At 38.7% G+C, this 21,462-nt stretch overlaps 1 protein-coding gene across 1 annotated transcript in view; it reads left to right on the forward strand.

The window, feature by feature from the left end:
• Window positions 1–17,594, forward strand: part of SNAPC1 (small nuclear RNA activating complex polypeptide 1) — a 34,009-nt gene extending 16,415 nt beyond the window's left edge. The window contains exons 7-10 of the mRNA NM_003082.4: window positions 14–76; window positions 3,413–3,563; window positions 13,973–14,068; window positions 16,115–17,594. Of these exons, the coding sequence (NP_003073.1) occupies window positions 14–76; window positions 3,413–3,563; window positions 13,973–14,068; window positions 16,115–16,149 (345 nt within the window). The 3' untranslated portion in view covers window positions 16,150–17,594. The remainder of the gene's footprint in view (window positions 1–13; window positions 77–3,412; window positions 3,564–13,972; window positions 14,069–16,114) is intronic.
• The last annotated feature ends 3,868 nt before the right edge of the window (window positions 17,595–21,462 follow it).

Here is a 21,462-nt window from a genome sequence, read left to right on the forward strand (position 1 = left end):
ATTTTACATCCAGAGATGTGAAAGGGCAGAATCATTAGCGAAAATAAAATCAAAGGCCTTTTCAGTTGTCATACAGGTAAGTTATTCTTTAATAAGGTAATTTGGAAATTGACTGCTTTTTAAATTATATTTCAATTTTTCATCAAAGTAGTAATACATGTACTTAGTTTTAAAAGTCAAATAATGCTAGAGAGATTATATAGCACAACAGTCCCCTTCTCTGCCACTTCCCACCCTTGTATTCCTAACCTTCAGAGACAGCATCTTTCACTTCTTCTCTTTTAGCAGTTTCTTCTAATATTTACCTGGAATTTTGATGCCATTTCCTTTATTGTCTTCCAGCTTCTAGTATTCCTGATTTTGGAAGGTTTTAGGTTTTGCTTTGTCCCTGGAGTTCTGAAATTTCATTTAATACATATAATGTAACTTGGTGTACATCTTTTTTGTTTATTGCCCTTGGCACTCATGGTGACCTCCTTTCAATCTGATATCCTTCAGTTCTGAAGAAGTTTCTGTATTGTTTCTTTGATACAAATATTCTTTCCTGCATCTTTTCTCTTCTTCAGCTTTTCTTATTTTTCTCTTCTATTTCCAGTCTCTGTCTCATTTTCTGTTTTCAGGGAGATTTCTTAGGCTTTTATCTTCTGAACCATTATATTGATTTAAAAAAATTTCCCCTGATATTTTTTCATTACCAGTAATTTTTTTTGTTCTCTGAATGTTTGTTTTATTTTTTTAAATGTATTTTTCTTTTTCACAGGATGCAATAACTTTTTCTCTTTAAGGATATTAACTACAGTTTTTTTTTGATGGTTCCTCCCATTTCCTTTGAGTTCTTTTTTTTCTATTTGTTTGAACTCTTTCACTTTGTTGGTTTTTTTTTTTTTTTTTGAGACAGAGTTTTGCTCTTGTTGCCCAGGCTGGAGTGCAATGGTGCAATTTTGGCTCACTGCAACCTCCGCTTCCCAGGTTCAAGTGATTCTCCTGCCTCAGCCTCTCGAGTAGCTGGGATTACAGGCATGCATCACCACGCATGGCTAATTTTGTATTTTTAGTAGAGTTGGGGGTTTCTCCATGTTCACCAGGCTGGTCTTGAACTCCCGATCTCAGGTGATCCACCTGCCTTGGCCTCCCAAAGTGCTGGGATTACAGGTGTGAGCCAGTGCACCTGGCCCATTTTGTTGGCTTTTTAAAAATGATTGAAGATCCTCAGATGTCTTTTCATATTTAAGGGTAGTCAAGAGGAGATCAGGAGCTTATCTAACCTCTAGATTTCTTTGTCTTGGAGCTAGTTATTTAGAGAGCAATCTTTCACTCCCTTGTCTAGGGGAGGAGGGTGGGAAATAAGCCCAGCTGCCAATGTTTTGGGAGCCTACAGAGAGAATCAGCCACGAGGCTCACCATTCCTTATGCAGGTTTCACTCAGCCCCTCTATTTTCAATAAGAGGCCTCATCTCCTTCCTCACCTACACCAGTTTCCTTTGAGCCCACATCCTTTCTCGTTTAGCCTCTTCAGAGAGCAGGCCTTCTGTTTTGTACAGGAGATCAGTTGCCTAGCTCTGAGGTTGAGGAATGAGACACTATTCTCTATAGATTTTCAATGCACCTGCCTGTTTTTTCAGTCCCACCTCAGCCTTCCAAAGTGCTAGGATTACAGATGTGAGCCACTGTGCCCAGCCCTTTGCCCGTTTTTTAACGGGGTGGTTTTTTGTTTGTTGAATTAATTTTCTTATAGATTATGAATATTAGACCTTTATCGAATGCAAAGTTTGTGACTATTTTCTCTCATTCTGTAGGGTTGTCTGTTTACTCTGTTGTTTCTTTTGTTGTACAGAAGCTCTGTAGTTTAATTAGGTCTCACTTTTCAATTTTTGTTGTCAACTTTGTCAACCATCAGGTGGTCGTAGGTGTGTGGCTTTATTTCTGAGTTCTCTGTCCTGTTCCATTGGTCTATGTGTCTGTTTTTGTACCAGTACCATTCTGTTTTGGTTACTGTAGTGTGTCTGTGGTTTCTGCATCCATGGATTGAACCAATTGTGGATTGAAAATATTTGAAAAAAAAAATGCATCTGTACCAAATATGTGTGGACTTTTTTCCTTGCCATTATTCCTTGAATAATATGACAATCATTTACATAGTATTAGGTATTATAAGTAATCTAGAGATGATTGAAAGTATATGGGAGGAAGTGCATAGGTTATATGCAAATACTACACAATTTTATATCAGGAATTTGAGCTTCTCTGGATTTTGGTATACGAAGGAAGTCCTGGAACTAATCCTCCATGGATACTGAGAGACAGCTATACGTGGTTGCTTTTTAAGAATTGTTGGCCGGGTGCGGTGGCTCATGCCTGTAATCCCAGCACTTTGGGAGGCCGAGGTGGGCGGATCATGAGGTCAGGAGATCGAAACCATCCTGGCTAACACGGTGAAACGCTATCTCTACTAAAAATACAAAAAATTAGCCGGGCGTGGTGGTGGGCGCCAGTAGTCCCAGCTACTCGGGAGGCTAAGGCAGGAGAATGGCGTGAACCCCGGGAGGTAGAGGTTGCAGCGAGCTGAGGTCGTGCCACTGCACTCCAGCCTGGGTGACAAAGCAAGACTCCATCTCCAAAAAAAAAAAAAAAAAAAGGACAGAAAAAAGAATTGTTAATACCTGTATTGCATATACAGCATTAACTGAAAATTCTTTGCTTAAGCAAGTAAGGGAATTCACCTACTGATGTAACAAAACAAATCCTTAGCCAGGATTGGCTAAAGATATCTGTGTCGCAGACAAAGCTATCATTAAGACTGGCCCTCCATTTTCACTGCCGTCAAGTGCTGTTTTCCTGACAGCTCCAGCCTTGCATGTTCCCAGCTTTAGCTTCCAAGGCAAGAAAGAATTTTTCCTTCTTAATAGTTAGACAATTCCAAAATAGCATTTCATTAGCCATGATACATACCACATACCCCGCCTGCTTGCCTCCCCACTCCCAACAAATTACCCTGGCCATGGGGATGTTAAACTCATTGTGGCCAGATCTGGGCCACATGGCCAAACCTGGAGCCAAGCGTGAAGTACTTCTACTTGGAATGCGTGGTAGTGCCTAAGGGAAATAAATTTATTAGAAGATGCCTCTACACCTTTGTTGCCTAACCATGCCAGATAATAGAACAACTTCATTTTAAGCCCATGTGAGTAGATGATGATGACAGCTGCAGGAAACTTCATGTTATAAAAATAAGAGACTATTTACATGACACAGGTAGTTATAGTAAGCCAGCCAGGGGTAATAGTAAAGTACTTTATGACAGATATTTCTGTAAATCTTTCCTCATCTTTGATTGTACATTTTGTCTTCCTCTCAATTTTATCATTTGGATTCATTTTATAATTTATTGGTTAATTGGATTGTAACTCTTAAGGCATCCAAATCAAGAAGGCATCGTCAAGTCAAACTCGACTCTTCTGACTCTGATTCTGCATCTGGTCAAGGGCAAGTCAAAGCAACTAGGAAAAAAGAGAAGAAAGAAAGATTGAAACCAGCAGGAAGGAAGATGTCTCTCAGAAACAAAGGTAACTTTTTAAAGTCTTACTAAGATTCAACAAAGGAGAATGGGTTTTATTTACAACTTTGCCTCATGTTTATTTCCTTGTTAAGAAGGATTAGATACTTGTTTGAGAACATTTTTGTGAGATTTAATATTAAAAATAAATTCTGTTAGATTCTTGGAATCTTATTGCTTGAAAGGGATCCTAGGAATCATATCAAATGTATCGTTTTATAGATGATGAAATTTTGGCCTGGCCGGGTGCTATGGCTCATGCCTGTAATCCCAGCACTTTGAGAGGCCTAGGTGGGCGGATCACTTGAGGTCAGGAGTTCAAGTCCAGCCTGGCCAACATGGTGAAACCCTGTTTCTACTAAAAATATAAAAGTCGGGCATGGTAGCGCATGCCTGTAATCCCAGCTACTTGGGAGGCTGAGGCACGAGAATTGCTTGAACCTGGAAGGCAGAGGTTGCAGTGAGCTGAGATCATGTCACTTCACTCCAGCATAGGTGACAGAGCAAGACTCTCAAAACAAACAAACAAAAAAAGAAATTTAGGCCTATACAGATTAAATAACTTGTCTAAAGTGATATATCAATTAATAGCTAGATAGTTATGAAATCAGTCTAGAATTTTCCAGTGCATTTTTTTTTTTTTTTTTTTTTTGAGAGGGAGTTTTGCTGTTGTTGCCCAGGCCGGAGTGCAATGGCACGATCTTGGCTCACTGCAACCTCCGCCTCCCAGGTCCAAGCAATTCTCCTGCCTCAGCCTCCTGAGTAGCTGGGACTACAGGCACCTGCCACCATACCCAGCTAATTTTTTTTTGTATTTTTTTTTAGTAGAGATGGGGTTTCACCATGTTGGCCAGGCCGGTCTTGGACTCCTGACCTCAGGTGATCCACCTGCCTTGGCTTCCCAAAGTGCTGAGATTACAGGTATGAGCCACCGCACGCGGCCTCCAGTGCATATTTTAGTAGTAATTTTTGTGTGCGAATCAAACTTATTTGTAGAATGAGATATAAATAATGCATTCTATAAACCATGTTTCTTTTTAGCTGTATTAAGATGTCCTTTTTCTTTGACACGGTGTATCTGTAAAATTACCTTTCTTCTTAAGGAAATTACTTTCGTATATATTTCAATAGTTTGGTTTGGTTTTTTTTTTTTTTTTTTTTTTCTTGAGACAGAGTCTTGCTGTGTTGCCCAGGCTGAAGTGCAGTGGCGCGATCTCGGCTCACTGCAACCTCTGCCTCCCGGGTTCAAGTGATTCTCCTGTCTGAGCCTCCCAAGTAGCTGGGACTACAGGCGCCCACCACCATGCCTGGGTAATTTGTTTTTGTATTTTTAGTAGAGACGGGGTTTCACTATGTTGGCCAGGCTGGTCTTGAACTCCTGACTTCGTGATTCGCCCGCCTTGACCTCCCAAAGTGCTGGGATTACGGGCGTGAGCCACCGCACCTGGCAATAGTTTGGTTTTTTAAAAATTGTCTGAATAATGTATATGCACCCTACATAAATTTGGAATTTGATTAACAGGTTTACTTAAGGTGAGAAAAAAAGGAGCGTTAGAAACAGTAAATATTTAATGACTAATAATGAAATTCACTCTCAACTACTGCAGGTATATATGAAGATAAGTTAACAGCCTTTTAGCATTTTTTCCCCTATATTGAAGCAGTGGAGGGAGAACTGAAGTTAAATACCTTTAATATGTCCCAGATATGATTAAGTCGTGTAACAGTAGCTTGAAGTGCACTGAGAATTCAGAGGAGATACCATATTTGTTAAGTATGATCAAGAAATAGTTCAAAAGGAGATTTTTCTACTTCCTTTCACAATGCTAAAGGATATTGTGAAGAAAATTGTTAGACTAAACTCACTTATGAGTATTACTGAAAAAATCCTAAGTCACATGTATCAAAAATAATCCTAGACACAAAAATACCTTGACTGAGTACACTTATTTCAGGATGCATTCAGAATCTATTAATATGATTTACCACATCAATAGGTTAAAGGGGAAAATGTGAATTTATTTTAATAGTTACCAAAGAAGACATTTGATAATATCCACCATCCATTCTTGATTTAAAAAAAAAAAATCCTCTAGATCAAGGAGTCAGCAAACAGTTTCTGTAAAGGGCCAGGTAGTAAATAGTTTAGGTTTTGTGAGCCGTGTTTCTGTCACAACTACTCAGCTCTACCATCGTAATGTGAAAGTAGCTATAGATAATACCAACACACACTAGTGTGGTTGTAGTCCAGTAAAACTGTATAAAAGCAGGTGGTTGGTCACATTTGGTCCAGGGGCCATAGTTTGTTAACTCCTGCCCTAGGTAAAATAGAAGATTATTTCTTTAATCTTTAAAGTGTGTGTGTGCACTTGTGTATTAGATTACAAAGTGCCTCATGTTCAATGGTAATATGCAAGAAGTATCACAGTTTTATTTAACGTTGCTCTTAAAGAGCTAGTCAGTGTAATTAGATAAGAGAGTGAAGGGAGATATGACATCAGAAAGAGAGACTAGAAAATTATCATGATATGTGAATGATTTTATGCCTAAAAAAATTCTAAAGAGAATTTGCTGAAAAATAATTAAGAACAAAAATTTAGGGAGGTAAGGGTGACCACTGTAAACCTTACAAAGATTAAAAGGTGACCAAGGCAAAATTATAAATAATTTTATGCCAGTAAGTTAGGTAGCTTAAATAAAATGAATAAATTTATTAAGAGACACAAGTTTCCAGGCCGGGCGCGGTGGCCCATGCTTGTAATCACAGCACTTTGGGAGGCTGAGGCAGGTGGGTCACCTGAGGTTGGGAGTTCAAGACCAGCCTGGCCAACATGGAGAAACCCCGTCTCTACTGAAAATACAAAACTAGCTGGGCTTGGTGGCACATGCATGTAATCCCAGCTACTTGGGAGACTGAGGCAGAATTGCTTGAACCCGGGAGGCGGAGGTTGCGGTGAGCCAAGATCGCGCCAAGATGGAGCCTTTGCGCTCCAACCTGGGCAACAAGAGCGAAATTCTGTCTCAAAAAAAAAAGAGAGAGACACAAGTTTCCAAAACTGATGGAGGAAATCTGAATAGTCTAATGTCTACTGAGACCCCAGAATATCTGAGACAGGTCTCAGTTGATTTAGAAAGTTTATTTTGCCTGGGTTAAGGATGTGCCTGTGATACAACCTCAGGAAGTCCTGAGACATGTGCCCAGTGTGGTCGGGATACAGTTTGCTTTTATACATTTTAGGGAGACATGACACATCATCAATATGTGTAAGTCGTACATTGGTTTGGTCTGGTAAGGCAACAAGTGGGGGCTTCCAGGTTAGAAGTAGGTAAGACAAAAAGTTGGATTTTTTGAGTCTTTGATGGCCTTCCACCTAATACAAATAATACGCAATTTACTCTGGCTCAATGAATCTGCATTTTCACATAAGCAATAGGGGAGAGGAAGCAATCAGATATGCATTTGTCTTAGGTGAGCCTCAGAGGGATCACTTTGAATAGAATGGGAGGCTGGTTTGCCCTAAGCAGTTCCAGCTTGACTTTTCCCTTTAGCTTAGTGATTTTGGGGTCCGAAGATTTATTTTCCTCTCACACTGCTAAAGAAATTAAATTCCCAGGCTTCTCTGGAAATTTTAGCAAACATTTAAGAAAGGAGTGATCTAGATTCTTTCAGAAAATGCAAGAGGGAACACTTTGCAGCTTACTGACATTGCAAGAAAGAACTAAAGACCAATATCCCTTATCTTATCCAAAAAAAAATTCAAAATGGATTATGGACCTAAATTTGAAACCTAAATTATAAAACTTGTGAAAAAATATGTAGGAGAAAAATGTTTGTGTTCTTGGGTTGGGCAAGATTTTTAAATACATGACACAATAACACGAGCAAATCATGAAACAAAAAAAAACTGATAAATTGGCATTCTCAAAGTTACAATTTTTGTCTTCAAAAGACACTGTTAAGAAGATGAGAAGATAAGCCACAGACTGGGAGAAAATTTTTGCAAACTACTACGCTGATAAAGGTCTTGTATCCAAAATAGTAATATTTAAAGAAGTCTAACTCAATAAATATACAGCCCACCCAATGAAGAAATGGCTAAAACATTTCACCAAAGAAAAGATATGGATGGCAAATAATCATATGAAAAGATGCTCTGCATCTTTAGTTACTAGAGAAATGTAAATTAAAACCACAGTGACACTCCACTAAACCCTGAATGGCAACAACAAAAAGACCCCACAAAGCAAAACAAAAATTGTGATGAAAAAAGCTGTTGAGGATTTGGAACAAGTGGAACCTGCATACTTTTCTGGTGTGAATCCAGAATGATGTGGTTACTTTAGAAAACCTGTAGTTTTTAAAAGGTAAACGTGTACTTACCATCCGACCCAGAAATACTATTCCTTGGTATTTACTCAAGAGAAATGAACACTTAATGTTCACACAGAAATGTGTATGCAAAAGTTTATGTGGCTTTATTCATAATTGCAAGAACTGCAAACAGCCTAAAAATCCTTCCACTGCTGATTGGATAAACTGTGGCATATCCATGCAATGAAATACAACCCAGCAATAAAAGAGCTATCATACATCTAACAACATAGATGAATCTGAATTCAGTGTGCTCTGTGAAAGAAGACAGACACAAAAGGCTATATACTCTGTGATTCTATTTATATGACATTCTGGAAGAGGCAAATCTGTAGGGACAGAAAACATATATTTGGTTGCTACGGACTTAGGGGTAGGGGAAGGTATTAAATGCCCAGTGGCACAGAGAAACTTTTGGGGTGATGGAAATCTATATTTTCGTTGCAGTGGTAGATTGCACAGCCGTGCATTTGTCCAAACTTCTCTGTATAGCAAAAATGGGTGAATTTTATTGTATGTTAATAATACTTCAATAAACCTGACTGATGGCCAAACACGAACAAAAAGAGAGGACATAAGGAAAAGATTGTTTAGTTTGATTATATTTCAAAAATTAACTTCTGGTAGATTAAAATGTTTTTTTTTTTTAAAGAAAATGTTCAGCTGAATTAAATTTAAAGGAGTTTAATTGAGCAGTGAACATTTCCAGTATCGCACAGCCCCTAGAATCACGGCAGATTCAGAGACTCCAGTGCAGCCACGTGGTGGAAGATGTATAGCCAATAAAAAGGAAATGAGGTACAGAAATCGGAAGTGAGGTACAGAACAGCTGGATTGGTTACAGCTCGGCATTTGCCTTATTTGAACACAGTTTGAAGACTCAGCAGTGTATGAATGGTTGAAGTACTGCCGCTGGGATTGGCCAAGTCTCAGCTATTGTTAAGGCACATACTCCTAAATTTGGTTTTCAGTCTTGTCTACCTATTAAGCTAGATTGCAGTTGGTCCACAAGGACTCAAATATAGAAGTACGGAGTCCTTCTCAGGCCATATTTAGTTCACTTTAACATAAGTACCAAAGATAGTTAGGTTTAGAAACCCTCACAAGCACTTTTTATTAATTGCCTTCATATAGGCACAGCAACGTGATGAGCTGGCCAAGCTGCTTTCTTGAAGACCTGAAAAAAAAATTTTTTAATGTGGTTGGGGAACAAAGGAGGAACAAGAACAAAATAGGAAAAGAAAGAAGTTAAATGAAATTAACTTTCATCTTGAATGTGTGACAGTTATAATTTATGATCACCAATCATAATTAGTTGCTGAAAACAACTGTTTTGTAAATTCTGAAACTAACTGAAGGACAGGCTCTATAGTACATCTGAGATTTGTTAATGAATTTTCTCAGGGTGTTAGGGAGGATTTACCCATGAGAAAGAATAAAGTATTATAAAATGTGATCTGAATTCAGATCTCCATCATGGCTTAACTAATCCAGCTAAGGTATTGTAAATACTCTGAAGCAGAAGTAGTTACCTGAATAATAAAGACCCAAATGCTTACTTTGTAGTTTCTCATTAATCAAACGTTCATTTCCATACAGTGGAAAGGTGTTTTTGATTTTACAGTTTTTCAAACAGAGGAGCCTTCAGTTCCATAAAAGGCAAAAGATCTTACAAATCCATTTGCACATATGATACTATTAAAATTTCTAATTGTAAAAGAGCTTTTATAAATGAATAAGAAAAGGGCCACCACCCAGTAGAAAAATAGCTTAGGACATGAACAGGCAATAACAAATGCAGGCAGACAGTCAGTGCATATAGGAAATAATTGAATTTCATTTATAATTAAAGATATATAAATTAAAACATGATTTTTATATTATTTGATAAAGATTAAAGATAATACCCATTGATAATGAAAGTGTGAGGAAATAAAATCTCAGTTTAAGTGGGAGAGTAAATTGGCACATTCTTTTCATAGAGCAATTTAGAATCAGGTCAAAATTTTAAATGTACATGCTTTTTAGAATTGCTAGGAATTTATTCTGTACAAATCATAAATATAAAAGGAAATTCATTGCAGGATTATTTGAAATGGCAAACTGTAAACAACTCAAATGTATAATGGGTAAATAAAATTATTGTCAGTCCATACAAAGGAATACTTTGCAGTTACTAAAAAGCTAGGGAGGCTGGGCACGGTGGCTGACGCCTGTAGTCCCAGCACTTTGGGAGGCCGAGGCAGGCAGATCACAAGGTCAGGAGTTCAAAACCAGCCTGGCCAATATGGTGAAACCCCACCTCTACTGAAAATACAAAAATTAGCTGGGTGTGGTGGCGGGTGCCTGTAGTCCCAGCTACTTGGGAGTCTGAGGCAGGAGAATCACTTGAACCCAGGAGACGGAGGTTGCAGTGAGCCAAGATAGCGCCACCGCTCTTCAGCCTGGGTGACAGAGCAAGACTCCATCTCAAAAAAAAAAAAAAAAGGCTAGGGAAAGCTCTGTATTATGAAAGTATATCCAAAATATATCGACTAAAAATAAAACACAACATTATCTATACATTTCATAGTGAAAAGGCTTTTTAAAAAAGTATGATCTCGTTTCTATTAATAAAAAAATATACATACATACACACATGAACATAATATATAGCACTGAAGAAATCTAGATGTGTATGAAGTATTACCAGTGGTTAATTTTCAAGGATAGTATAATGAGAAACTACCCATAAATGTCTGTAACGTTTGGATTTTGTATAACCAAGTGTTACTTTAGTAATCAGTAGAAATCCAAAGACCTTTTTACAAATAAGGTAAACATAATTTCATAGACTCAGACAAGTAGAGGGGCTGGTGTGAAAAAGGCAAAGTAGCTGGGAAGTATAGAGTGAGGGGTCCATTTAGGCTGGATTGTAAAGGGGATATGTTGGGGAGTTAAATGTTAAAAGTGCTGGAAAAATATGTTGAGGATTGTATTGTGACCAGGCCTTAAATGTGGAATCAAGAAGTTTACACTTCAATTGGTAGGCAGAGGGGGAGTCAGCTGAAACTTTTGAGCAAGAAAGTGGCATGCCCAAAGTTTTCCTTGAAGAAAATCAGTCTGGGAGTAGAATGGTAGGTAGCTGGGAACAAACTGAAAATAGGAACACTAAGTAGAGGGCTGTTGCGGTAGTTCAGATTTAGGAGTAACGAGCGTGTGCCACATGGTTGTAGGAATTAGAGAAGCAAGGCTAACAGACATAAGAGCAAATACGGAGACTAGTGGAGAGGGGTGAGACAAGAATGCTTAATGTCTGAGCACCTGGGAGGATATTTGTGTCCTTGCTGGAGAAATACAATGACACAATAAAGATTTCATTGGGGGGAGAATTCGCTCCAGTCCGCCTTGCCAGACTGATTTCTGTAATAATTGCTTGGTGTATTAATGGGTGCTCAGTATATTGATGGAATTTACTTAAGCTTATGTTATTTAAGCTTTAATTATGTGCTCACCATTCCTCGAATATAACATGCATGTTGACAGGACATCAGTAATACCAGTGCTATGATGGATGAAGATGATAGCAACTACTATTTATTAACACTTTTTTTTGAGATGGAGTGTTGCTCTGTCACCCAGGCTGGAGTGCAGTGGCACGATCTCGGCTCACTGCAACCTCCACCTCCTGGGTTCAAGCGATTCTTCTGCCTCAGCCTCCCCACTAGCTGTGATTACAGGCGCTCGCCACCACGCCTGGCTGATTTTTGTATTTTTAGTAGAGACGGAGTCTTAACCATGTTGGCCAGGTTGGTCTCGAACTCCTGACGTTAAATAATCCACCCACCTCAGCCTCCTAAAGTGCTGAGATTACAGGCGCAAGCCACCGCACCCGGCTATGTAACACTTTTTATCTGACCAACTTTTTCTCACATGTCCAAGACCTTCTAGATAATACATAGCAGAACTGAGACTGGAACGAGTCTGTCTGAATCCAAGCCTGATTCTTTAACTGTCATACTGTGCTACCTCCCAGGTCACTGGAGGTGTGGATCTGGAGCTCAGATTAGACATACACTTAAGTAAATTTGTTGTTAGTTGCATTCTAGCTGCCTGACTAGTAATCATTTGTTTGGATAATCAGTAGTGGTCTATTACTGATCATTGCACCCCACACATTTAGCTTTGAGCATAGTAAAACTGCCCACCTGAGACCTTCTAGGGAGTTAGTTTTATGGATAATTGAGGTTAATGATTACAATGTTGAAATTTACTTTTTTGTTCCCTCCCGAGATGGAGTCTTGCTCTGTCGCCCAGAGCTGGAGTGCAGTGGCGCGATCTCGGCTCACTGCAACCTCCGCCTCCTGGGTTCAAGCAATTCTCCTGCCTCAGTCTCCCGGGTAGCTGGGATTACAGGCACCCACCACCATGCCCAGCTAATTTTTGTATTTTTAGTAGAAGCAGGGTTTCACCATGTTGGCCAGACTGGTCTCGAACTCCTGACCTTGTGATCCACCCACCTCAGCCTCCTAAAGTGCTGGGATTACAGGCATGAGCCACCACCCCCAGCCAAAATTTACTTTTTAAAAATTTAATTATTTTTTGCTATCTTTCTCAAATATATTGCATTCTCTTTTATATGTTTCCTTTTTTCTACATTTATCATTTTTGTAATTATAAATACATTAAAGTCAAATATATTTTATGCTCTTATTTTCTGGAACACTGTATCCTTAACATAATTTAATTTTCTCCTGACAAGTCATGGTCACCATCATGAGGATTATGTTACTGGGTTTTATAATGTAATGATTCTATCAAGAAATAGGCCGGGCACGGTGGCTCACGCCTGTAATCCCAGCAGTTTGGGAGGTTGAGGCAGGTGGATCACTTGAGGTCAGGAGTTTGAAACCAGCCTGGCCAGCATGGTGGAACCCCCATCTCTACTACAAATACAGAAATTAGCTGAGCGTGATGGCATTCACCTGTAGTCCCAGCTACTCAGGAGGCTGAGGCATGAGAATCATTTAAGCCTGGGAGGCGGAGGTTGCAGTGAGCTGGGATTACGCCACTGTACTCCAGCCTGGGCTACAGAGAGACTCTGTCTCAAAAAAAAAAATAGCTTAAGTGTGCGGCAGTTTATATTAAATGGCTTCATGCCACAATGCTTTGTTCTTATGTCTTTTTAAAAAAAGAAAATAGTGTTTCTGTTACACTTATTGTAGTGAACATCTTTCTGTTCTCAGTGTGCAGGCTCAGGAGGCAGAGGCAGGAGAATTGCTTGAACCCAGGAGGCAGAGGTTGCAATGAGCCAAGATCGCGCCACTGCACTGCAGCCTGGGTGACAGAGTGAGACTCCATTAAAAAAGAAAAAAAAAAAAAAGCAAGATATAACATATCAAATGATAAAAGTGTTGGGGCAAAGAAAAACAGCATAAAAAATAGTCACTGTTTATGGGGGTTGCTTTTGGGACATGGAAATTGTGTGCTAAATGGTACTTGATATGACAATGGTATCTGATAAATTTGGTTGGGATACTTCTTCAGGTAACAGAAGGTTGATGTAGAGAACCTCTAGTGTTTTTGAAAATGGAAAGTCAATCGCAAATTATGACTAGAGGAATATATCTTGTAGAGCATATGTGGTGAGAAAAGAAAGTATGTTCACATCCAAAAGTAAGGCTGTTAAACTCAAAAATTACATTTGTAATTAATTTAATAAAGTTGAAGTAACATATGTGATTATTCTTTGATGGCTGCAGATATAACCCCTGTCATGTGTGGTAAAGATTAAATATGGTATTTGTGTTTGGCTAATTTTGTTTATTCCTTTTTTCTCTGTTTTCTCTAGTGGAAGAACTAGAGACTATTTTCAAAGTATAAATACAAATATGTTAGTATTTGAAAAAATATAGGTATTCTAGAATGCGTATTTCTGTTACCATTACAGTTTCAGTTTTTACATGTCTAATTTTTATGCTGTAATAATGACAGTTTTTGTAAAATGTTTTCTCAAAGATTATAATATTCTTTGCTTTCATATAAAATCATTTTCTAAATATTTCTAGGCAATGTGCAGAATATACACAAGGAAGATAAACCTTTAAGTCTGAGTATGCCTGTAATTACAGAAGAAGAAGAGAATGAAAGTTTGAGTGGAACAGGTACAGATAAAATTTGGTCAAACTAGTCAAGTAAACTAACTTATACTCGTAGAGCATCAAGGTTTAGAACCCTTGAGGAACATGACAGTTTGCTGTGTGTTCTTGTGATCCTTTCATCTTTGACCCATTGGAGAATTTCAGTATTAGTCATATCATTAATGACATCTCAAAGTCAGGGATAATACAATAAATGAATGGTATGGATACCCATTAGGTATCCTATCAGTTTCATCTTTGTAGAGATGTCTCTGTCAGACCTCTGACCTGCTTTCATCTGGACAGTGTTCCAGTACTTCTAATCCTGACTGCTGCTCTCTTCCAGGAATTTGTTTTCTTTATTTTTTTTTCATGAGACAGGGTCTTGCTGGGTTGCCCAGGCTGGAGTGCGGTGACTTGATCACAGTGACTTACTACAGCTTCGACCTCCCCGGCTCAGGCTATCCTCCCCTCCCGCCTCAGCCTCTTGAGTCACTGGGACTGAAGGCACATGCCACCATGCCTGGCTAATTTTTGTATTTTTTGTAGAGACAGGGTCTCACTGTGTTGCCTAGGCTGGTCTCAAACTCCTGGGCTCAAGTGATCCACTTGCCTCAGCCTTCCAAAGTACTGGGATTACAGGCATGAGCCACCGTGCCTGGCCTAGGAATTTGTTTTCATCTTAATTTGTTTTTTTTACTTGTCTTTTCTCTTTTTCTTTTTCTGCCATTTCCCTTTTGTTTTTCACTGGTGGGGAATATTTTTTTTTCTTTTCTTTTTTTCTTTTTTTTTTTTTGAGACAGAGTCTTGCTCTGTCACCCAGGCTGGAGTGCAATGGCGTGATCTCAGCTCACTGCAAACACCATCTCCCAGGTTCACGCGATTCTCCTGCCTCAGCCTCCCAAGTAGCTGGGATTACAGGCACTCACCATCATGCCCGGCTCATTTTTGTATTTTTGTAGAGATGGGGTTTCACCGTGTTGGGCAGGCTGGTCTTGAACTCCTGACCTTAAGTGATCCGCTTGCCTTGGCTTCCCAAAGTGCTGGGATTACAGGTGGGAGCCACTGCACCCGGCCGGAATATTTCTTTTTGCCACATCTTTTGTAATTTTCATGTTTTTGTGTTTTCTATTACTTTCTTTGCTTTTAATGATCAGTAAACTTTAGGTTCGTGCTGTTTCTAGATGGACAATTATTCGAGTGTTGGTTCTGGCATCTCCTGTGGTAGCCAGAATGATGTGTGGTACTGGTGTTTTGGGTTACATTTCTAGGTTTAATTGAAATGAAATTGAAATCTTAGTCATTTTCTTCTTCTTAGTACTGGCCTAAATACCTTTGAGATCTAGTACCCTGGGTTCATATAATTATAGGGAGGGTGTACCCATATGAAACAACTTCACAGTAACTTATTATTAATTAGGATTTAGAATGACTAAGGGCCACTATCTCAATAGATTGATATTGCAATAGGATTGAGATCTTACTACCTTAATGGAGGTAGTATTTTTTGTTGTTATGTGTTTTTTTTGTTTGTTTGTTTGTTTTGAGATGGAGTCTCGCTCTGTCGTCCAGGCTGGAGTGCAGTGGCACGATCTTGGCTCACTGCAACCTCCACCTCCTGGGTTCAAGCAATTCTCCTGCTTCAGCCTCCTGAGTAGCTGGTACTATAGACATGTACCACCACGCCCGGCTAATTTTTTGTATTTATTTTAGTAGAGATGGGGTTTCACCATGTTAGCCAGGATGGTCTCGATCCCCTGACCTCATGATTCGCCCACCTTAGCCTCCCAGAGTGCTGGGATTATAGGCGTGAGCCACTGCACCTGGCCGATAGTATGTTTTAAACTGCTGTATCATTTTGAAGAAAAAATTCTTGAATATGTCAGGTTTAAGATTTTTTTGTTGTGTCTTTGCTGTGAGGGCATTCTTATTGTGTTGTACCAGTTAGACGTCTATGTAGTTGAAATGTGTATTATCAATTAGGTATTATCATGTAAGTGTCAGTTGTTTTTTTTGTTTGTTTTTTTTTTGTTTTTAGATCTGACTGACTTTTAAACTTTATGTCTTTAGAGTTCACTGCATCCAAGAAGAGGAGAAAACACTGAACAAAGAGCCTGGTGTAGTTTTTAATTTTGAGTTTTCTGACAGAAGAAAAGATTGATATTTTGTGTATTGAACAGGAAGACTGCCAGTATTAAAAAAATCCTTCTGGGAATCTGTAGGTTATTTCTTGGAAATTGCAATACGTAGTTCTAGAATAAAAGTACAAAAAATTAGAATAAGAATTCTTTAACATTTTCTTTAATGATTTGCATAAATGGAGATAAAACTTGTATTTAGTATGTAATAGAAAAAATTCTGTTATTCGCAGATTGTTACTATTTCCTATAAGGTTTTGTGATACTATACTGTCCTAATACAGTCTGGTAATACTATTCTATTTTATTTAAAATATTTTTTATTGAAATATTAATGTTTATTACATGCAAATAACTATTTTGTATCTACAGTCGGATAATGGATTTTTTATTTTGTATATTTATTCTATTTTGTATATTGTTAAGTGCAATAAAGTTTTTGCCTTGCTTTATTTTTTAATACATAAAACTTACATTCTCATAACGTGATTGATAACTTAGGAAGTTCACAATGTATTTTCTACTTCTGCAATTAAATATTCTTTAGTGCTTGTTTATTATTACTAAATACTAATTAAGTACTAACAAGTACTTAAATACTAATGTATTAAGTATTTAAGTACTTTCTAATAAAATCTTTAACAATAATAATGTAAATTTCAGAATGTGTCTCTGGTACAGAATAGTTGATATTAACAGAAAAAAAAAAATCTGTAGCTTCATGAATATGCCACTCTGTTAATTTCTTGTTCCAGACATTTTAATAGAGATTGCTTGAGCCATGTTGTTTGAATTGCTGCCAATAGCAGACCATATCCCTATCATGTTGTTGGCTCAACTGTTTTTTTTTTTTCCCTAATAGAGATGGAGTATCGCTATGTTGCTCAGGCTGGTCTTGAACTCCTGGGCTCAAGCTATCCTCCTGCCTCAGCCTCCCAAAGTACTGGGATTATAGGTGTGAGCTACTGTACCCAGCCTTAACCTGTTTCACAGTTGATTATACTTCATGCTGTTTTCCAGCATGGTATTATTAAGGGATTTAAAGTTTGGGTTGCATGCCTGTAATCCCAGCATTTTGGGAGGCCGAGGTGGGCGGATCACGAGGTCAGGAGATCGAGACCATCGTGACTAACACAGTGAAACCCCGTCTCTAATAAAAATACGAAAAATTAGCCAGGCGTGGTGGCGGGCGCCTGTAATCCCAGCTACTCGGGAAGCTGAGGCAGGAGAATGGTGTGAACCCAGTGAGCCGAGATCGTGCCACTGCACTCCAGCCTGGGCAACAGAGTGAGACTTCGTCTCAAAAAAAAAAAAAAGTTTGGGTTGAAGATCAAATTCGTGATATCTCTATATCTAATCTTTAAAAATCAGAATGCTAATGCTGACGCAAATAAAATTTTCATTTATTAGCATTCATGCAGTCACAATTGTTTCCTTTGATTCCTTTGACTTCAAATATATTTGGTCATAGAGGGGGCAGTTTTCATAATGTAGACATTAGGTGGAGCATCTTGGATTTAAACATTCTAGGGTTGGGGTGTAGATCCATTATTGGCCCCACTTGATATACTAGGTTGTTTGCCAGAACTTGTCTGACTGTTAAAAGTTTATAGACATTGTACAGCTAACACACTGAGTTGCCCTCTCTTTTTTCATAACTGTACTTATAAAATACATGCTATTGTTTCACTTGTACCTCAAGATGGTTAGTGCCCTGCCCCCATTCACAAAGTTAGTAAGTCATGCTTCTGAGTTATAAACACAGGGCTCAGTCTTATAATTTCAGTTTTTTTAAATAAGCCAACACGTGGAAATCCAGAAAGATACTTTTTTAACTATAAGCAGTAAAACTCCACTTCAAAATGGCTTAAACGAGAAGGAAAATTTATTAAAATCAGGTGAGTTCCAACAAAGGCTGGCTCTGGCTTATATAGTACATCAGTTCCGTGATGGCTTCATATACCTAGGTTTCCGTTTTTTCCTTTTTTTTTTTTTTTTTTTTTTTTTTTTTTGAGACGGTTTTGCTCTGTCACCCAGGCTGGAGAGCAGTGATGTGATCCTGGTTCACTGCAGCCTCAATCTCCTGAGATCAAGCTATCTTGCCACCTCAGCCTCTTGAGTAGCTGAGTCTACAGGTGTGTGACCACATGCTTGGCTAATTTTTTTTTTTTTTTTTTTTGATACAGAGTCTCCCTCTGTCACCCAGGATGGAGTGCAGTGACATGATCCTGGCTCACTGCAACCTCCGCCTCCCGGGTTCAAGCGATTCTTCTGTCTCAGCCTCCCGAGTAGCTGGGATTACAGGCATGCATTACCATGCCCGGCTTTTATATTTTTAGTAGAGATGGGGTTTCACTATGTTGGCCAGGCTGGTCTCAAACTCCTGACTTCAAGCGATCTACCTGCCTTGGCCTCCCAAAGTGCTGGGATTACAGGAGTGCACCACCGCACCCGGCCGCAATAGTGAGTTTTTCATGAGTATATGTTGAAGATAAGGTATGAATCAGTTGATAGACTTGCTTTAAATATGAAATTGAAGTTCATTGAACAGAGTTCAATCTGTGTTTTACAGTGAGTTTTCAAAATTAAAGTATGAAGTCCAAATACTAGTTATCTATTAAGCTACTTATATTGCCAACTTAATTATAATAGCTGTACCAAGTGATAAAGGCATGATTTCAGTATTAAATATTTGCTGAATTAATATTTTGTGGGAGAAGAAGGGTCGTGGCAGTGTATATAAACATACACTGTGTTTTAAAATCATACCACTCCCAGAAATCCCCGTATATGAAAGTGTTGTTCAAAGTAGATAATTAGAATTAGAGTAGTATTAATGTTATATACCAGGTTTATTTGGGGTATCTTAAAACCCATGAATAAAAAGTGGAGTCATAAGGAAAATGCAGCTTGTATGGATGCTTAATTAGGGGAATATTTTTCACTTTGGAAGTAAAGTATCCTAATTTCTTCAGAAGAAAACTACCCTGGGAATATGCAGTTCTCTATGAGAAATCATAGTGTCATCTTTGTTTTTTTTTTGTAGTACTATTATGAGTTTATGTTGTAAGCACATCCAAGATCCCATCTGGGTTTATAACCCCTTTGTCTTAATAACTCAAAGTTTTCCTAACTGTGAGTGGATATATTCAATGAGGAGAAACATTCCCAGTCTCTTTAATACCCAATTAAAGTGATTGTTCCCTGAGACAGACACAGTTGTACCATTTGCAAGCAAAAGGAAAGACAATGAACAAACTTTTGAGCAAAGGCTTTGTCTTATATAGGGATTTTTCAGAACAGCGATTTATTAGGGAACTACGTTAAAAACTTTAAAGTGCTACAAAACTATTTTACTGACTTGTTCAAAAATATTAAGAACTGCAGAGTGCTTTGGAAATGGAAATGCAAAGATATAAACGCTAAACTTCAAAATAATTACAGCTAAAAAGTAAGCTTTTAAAAAGTACTTGGATGCCAAGGAAACCAAAGTAATTGTGTGGTGACTTTTGAAGCGGCTTTTTAAAGTTATAATAATTGAAAGCTTATGTGTTTACACAGATCTTCAGATTGATATGAGACCAAGCTCTCATGGCTTGACAACTGAAGGAGACCCAGGTTTCTTTTTTTTAACTTGAATTGGCTACAATACATATTTTATTTCCAATAACCTATTTTGGTTATGACAAAAGATTTACACATGTATATAGAGATAAAATATCTTTAATTGCGGTATCTTTAAAAATGAGCTTTATGGGCTGGAAATTACTTTCATTTTGATGTAAAGAGCCCAGGAAAATAAGCATAATTACTAATGCCTTCCTAACTTACCCTTGATTCTTGAATTCTAGTTTAAAGAATGCTTGCTTTTTAAATGCCATTGAGCAAACTCTGTGGGTGCTTAAGTATTCACGTTTTCATTTTGAACACGTTTTCATTTCATCTTTTGAACAACTATAGAGTAATTTTCATTGCACATTTTTCTTATTCCCTTTATGAAAGTAAATGTCAAAGCCTCGACTTCGGGTTGTATAATTTTTTTTATGTGGTATTTTTTATGCCTGACTTATTTATTTTAATGTGCTGTATATTGCAGGTCTGAATTTTTCTTTTTATGATGAATTCGGGCTGCGTCCTTTAAGTTACAAGGAACAAAGTCACATTGACATTATCTTAAATGCTGGAGGCTTATTTTAATACTTGATCAGAGGCACAACTTCTTGGAGAGCTGGAAAAAAAATGTAGTGAACACCAGCAGCTTAGACGGCTGGGCTGAGTCCTTGCTTTTGAAGTGGATGTCTATTGCCCTGTAGTTACAATGTGCATCCTCTTATTCATGTGCTCTCCAGCTTCCCTGCCCACTTTCCCCTTTGCTACTTCTCTTGTTCTCTATAGTCCCTGAAAGAGGATCAGATTGATTCTATTAGTTATAATCCAAAATAGAGCTCCCTGATAGGGTGCAGATTATTCTGGCTACTGGCCTCCTTTTTTTTTTTTTTTTTTTTTTTTGAGATGGAGTTTCGTTCTTTCACCCAGTCTGGAGTGAAGAGCCGCAATCTTGGATCACTGCAACCTCCACCCCCCAGGTTCAAGTGATTCTCCTGCCTCAGCCTCCCAAGTAGCTGGGACTACAGGTATGTGCCACCACGCCCGGCTAATTTTTTTTTTTGTATTTTTAATAGAGACGGGGTTTCACCATGTTGGCCAGGCTGGTCCCAAACTCTTGACCTCAGGATCTACTCCTCTTGGCCTCCCCAAGTGCTAGGATTACAGGTGTGAGCCACCACACCCAGCCCCGCCTCCCTCCCCCACTTTTTTTGAGACAGAGTCTTGCTCTGTGGCCCAGGCTGGAGTGCAGTGGTGCCATCTCGGCTCACTGCAACCTCCACCTCCTGTGCTCAAGCAATTCTCCTGCCTCAACCTCCTGAATAGCTAGGATTACAGATGCGCACCACCACACCTGGCTAATTTTTGTATTTTTAGTAGAGATGGGGTTTCACCATGTTAGCCAGGCTGGTCTTGAACTCCTGACCTCAAGTGATCCGCCTGCCTTGGCCTCCCAAAGTGCTGGGATTACAGGTGTGAGCCACCACACCCGGCCTGGCCTCCCTTATGTCCAACTGAAAGGATGATGCCCCTTAACTAGGACATAGATCCCTGATACAATCAATTGTGGACAGTATAGAAGGGTCGTATACCTCAGGACAGGGCAAATTATGGGGAAGGACCCAACTCTGTCAGCTTTCTGCAGAAGGGGTTGTGAGTAGGGCAAGCCTGTAA

Source organism: Homo sapiens, chromosome 14, assembly GCF_000001405.40.
Source record: "Homo sapiens chromosome 14, GRCh38.p14 Primary Assembly".
Lineage (NCBI taxonomy): Eukaryota > Metazoa > Chordata > Mammalia > Primates > Hominidae > Homo > Homo sapiens.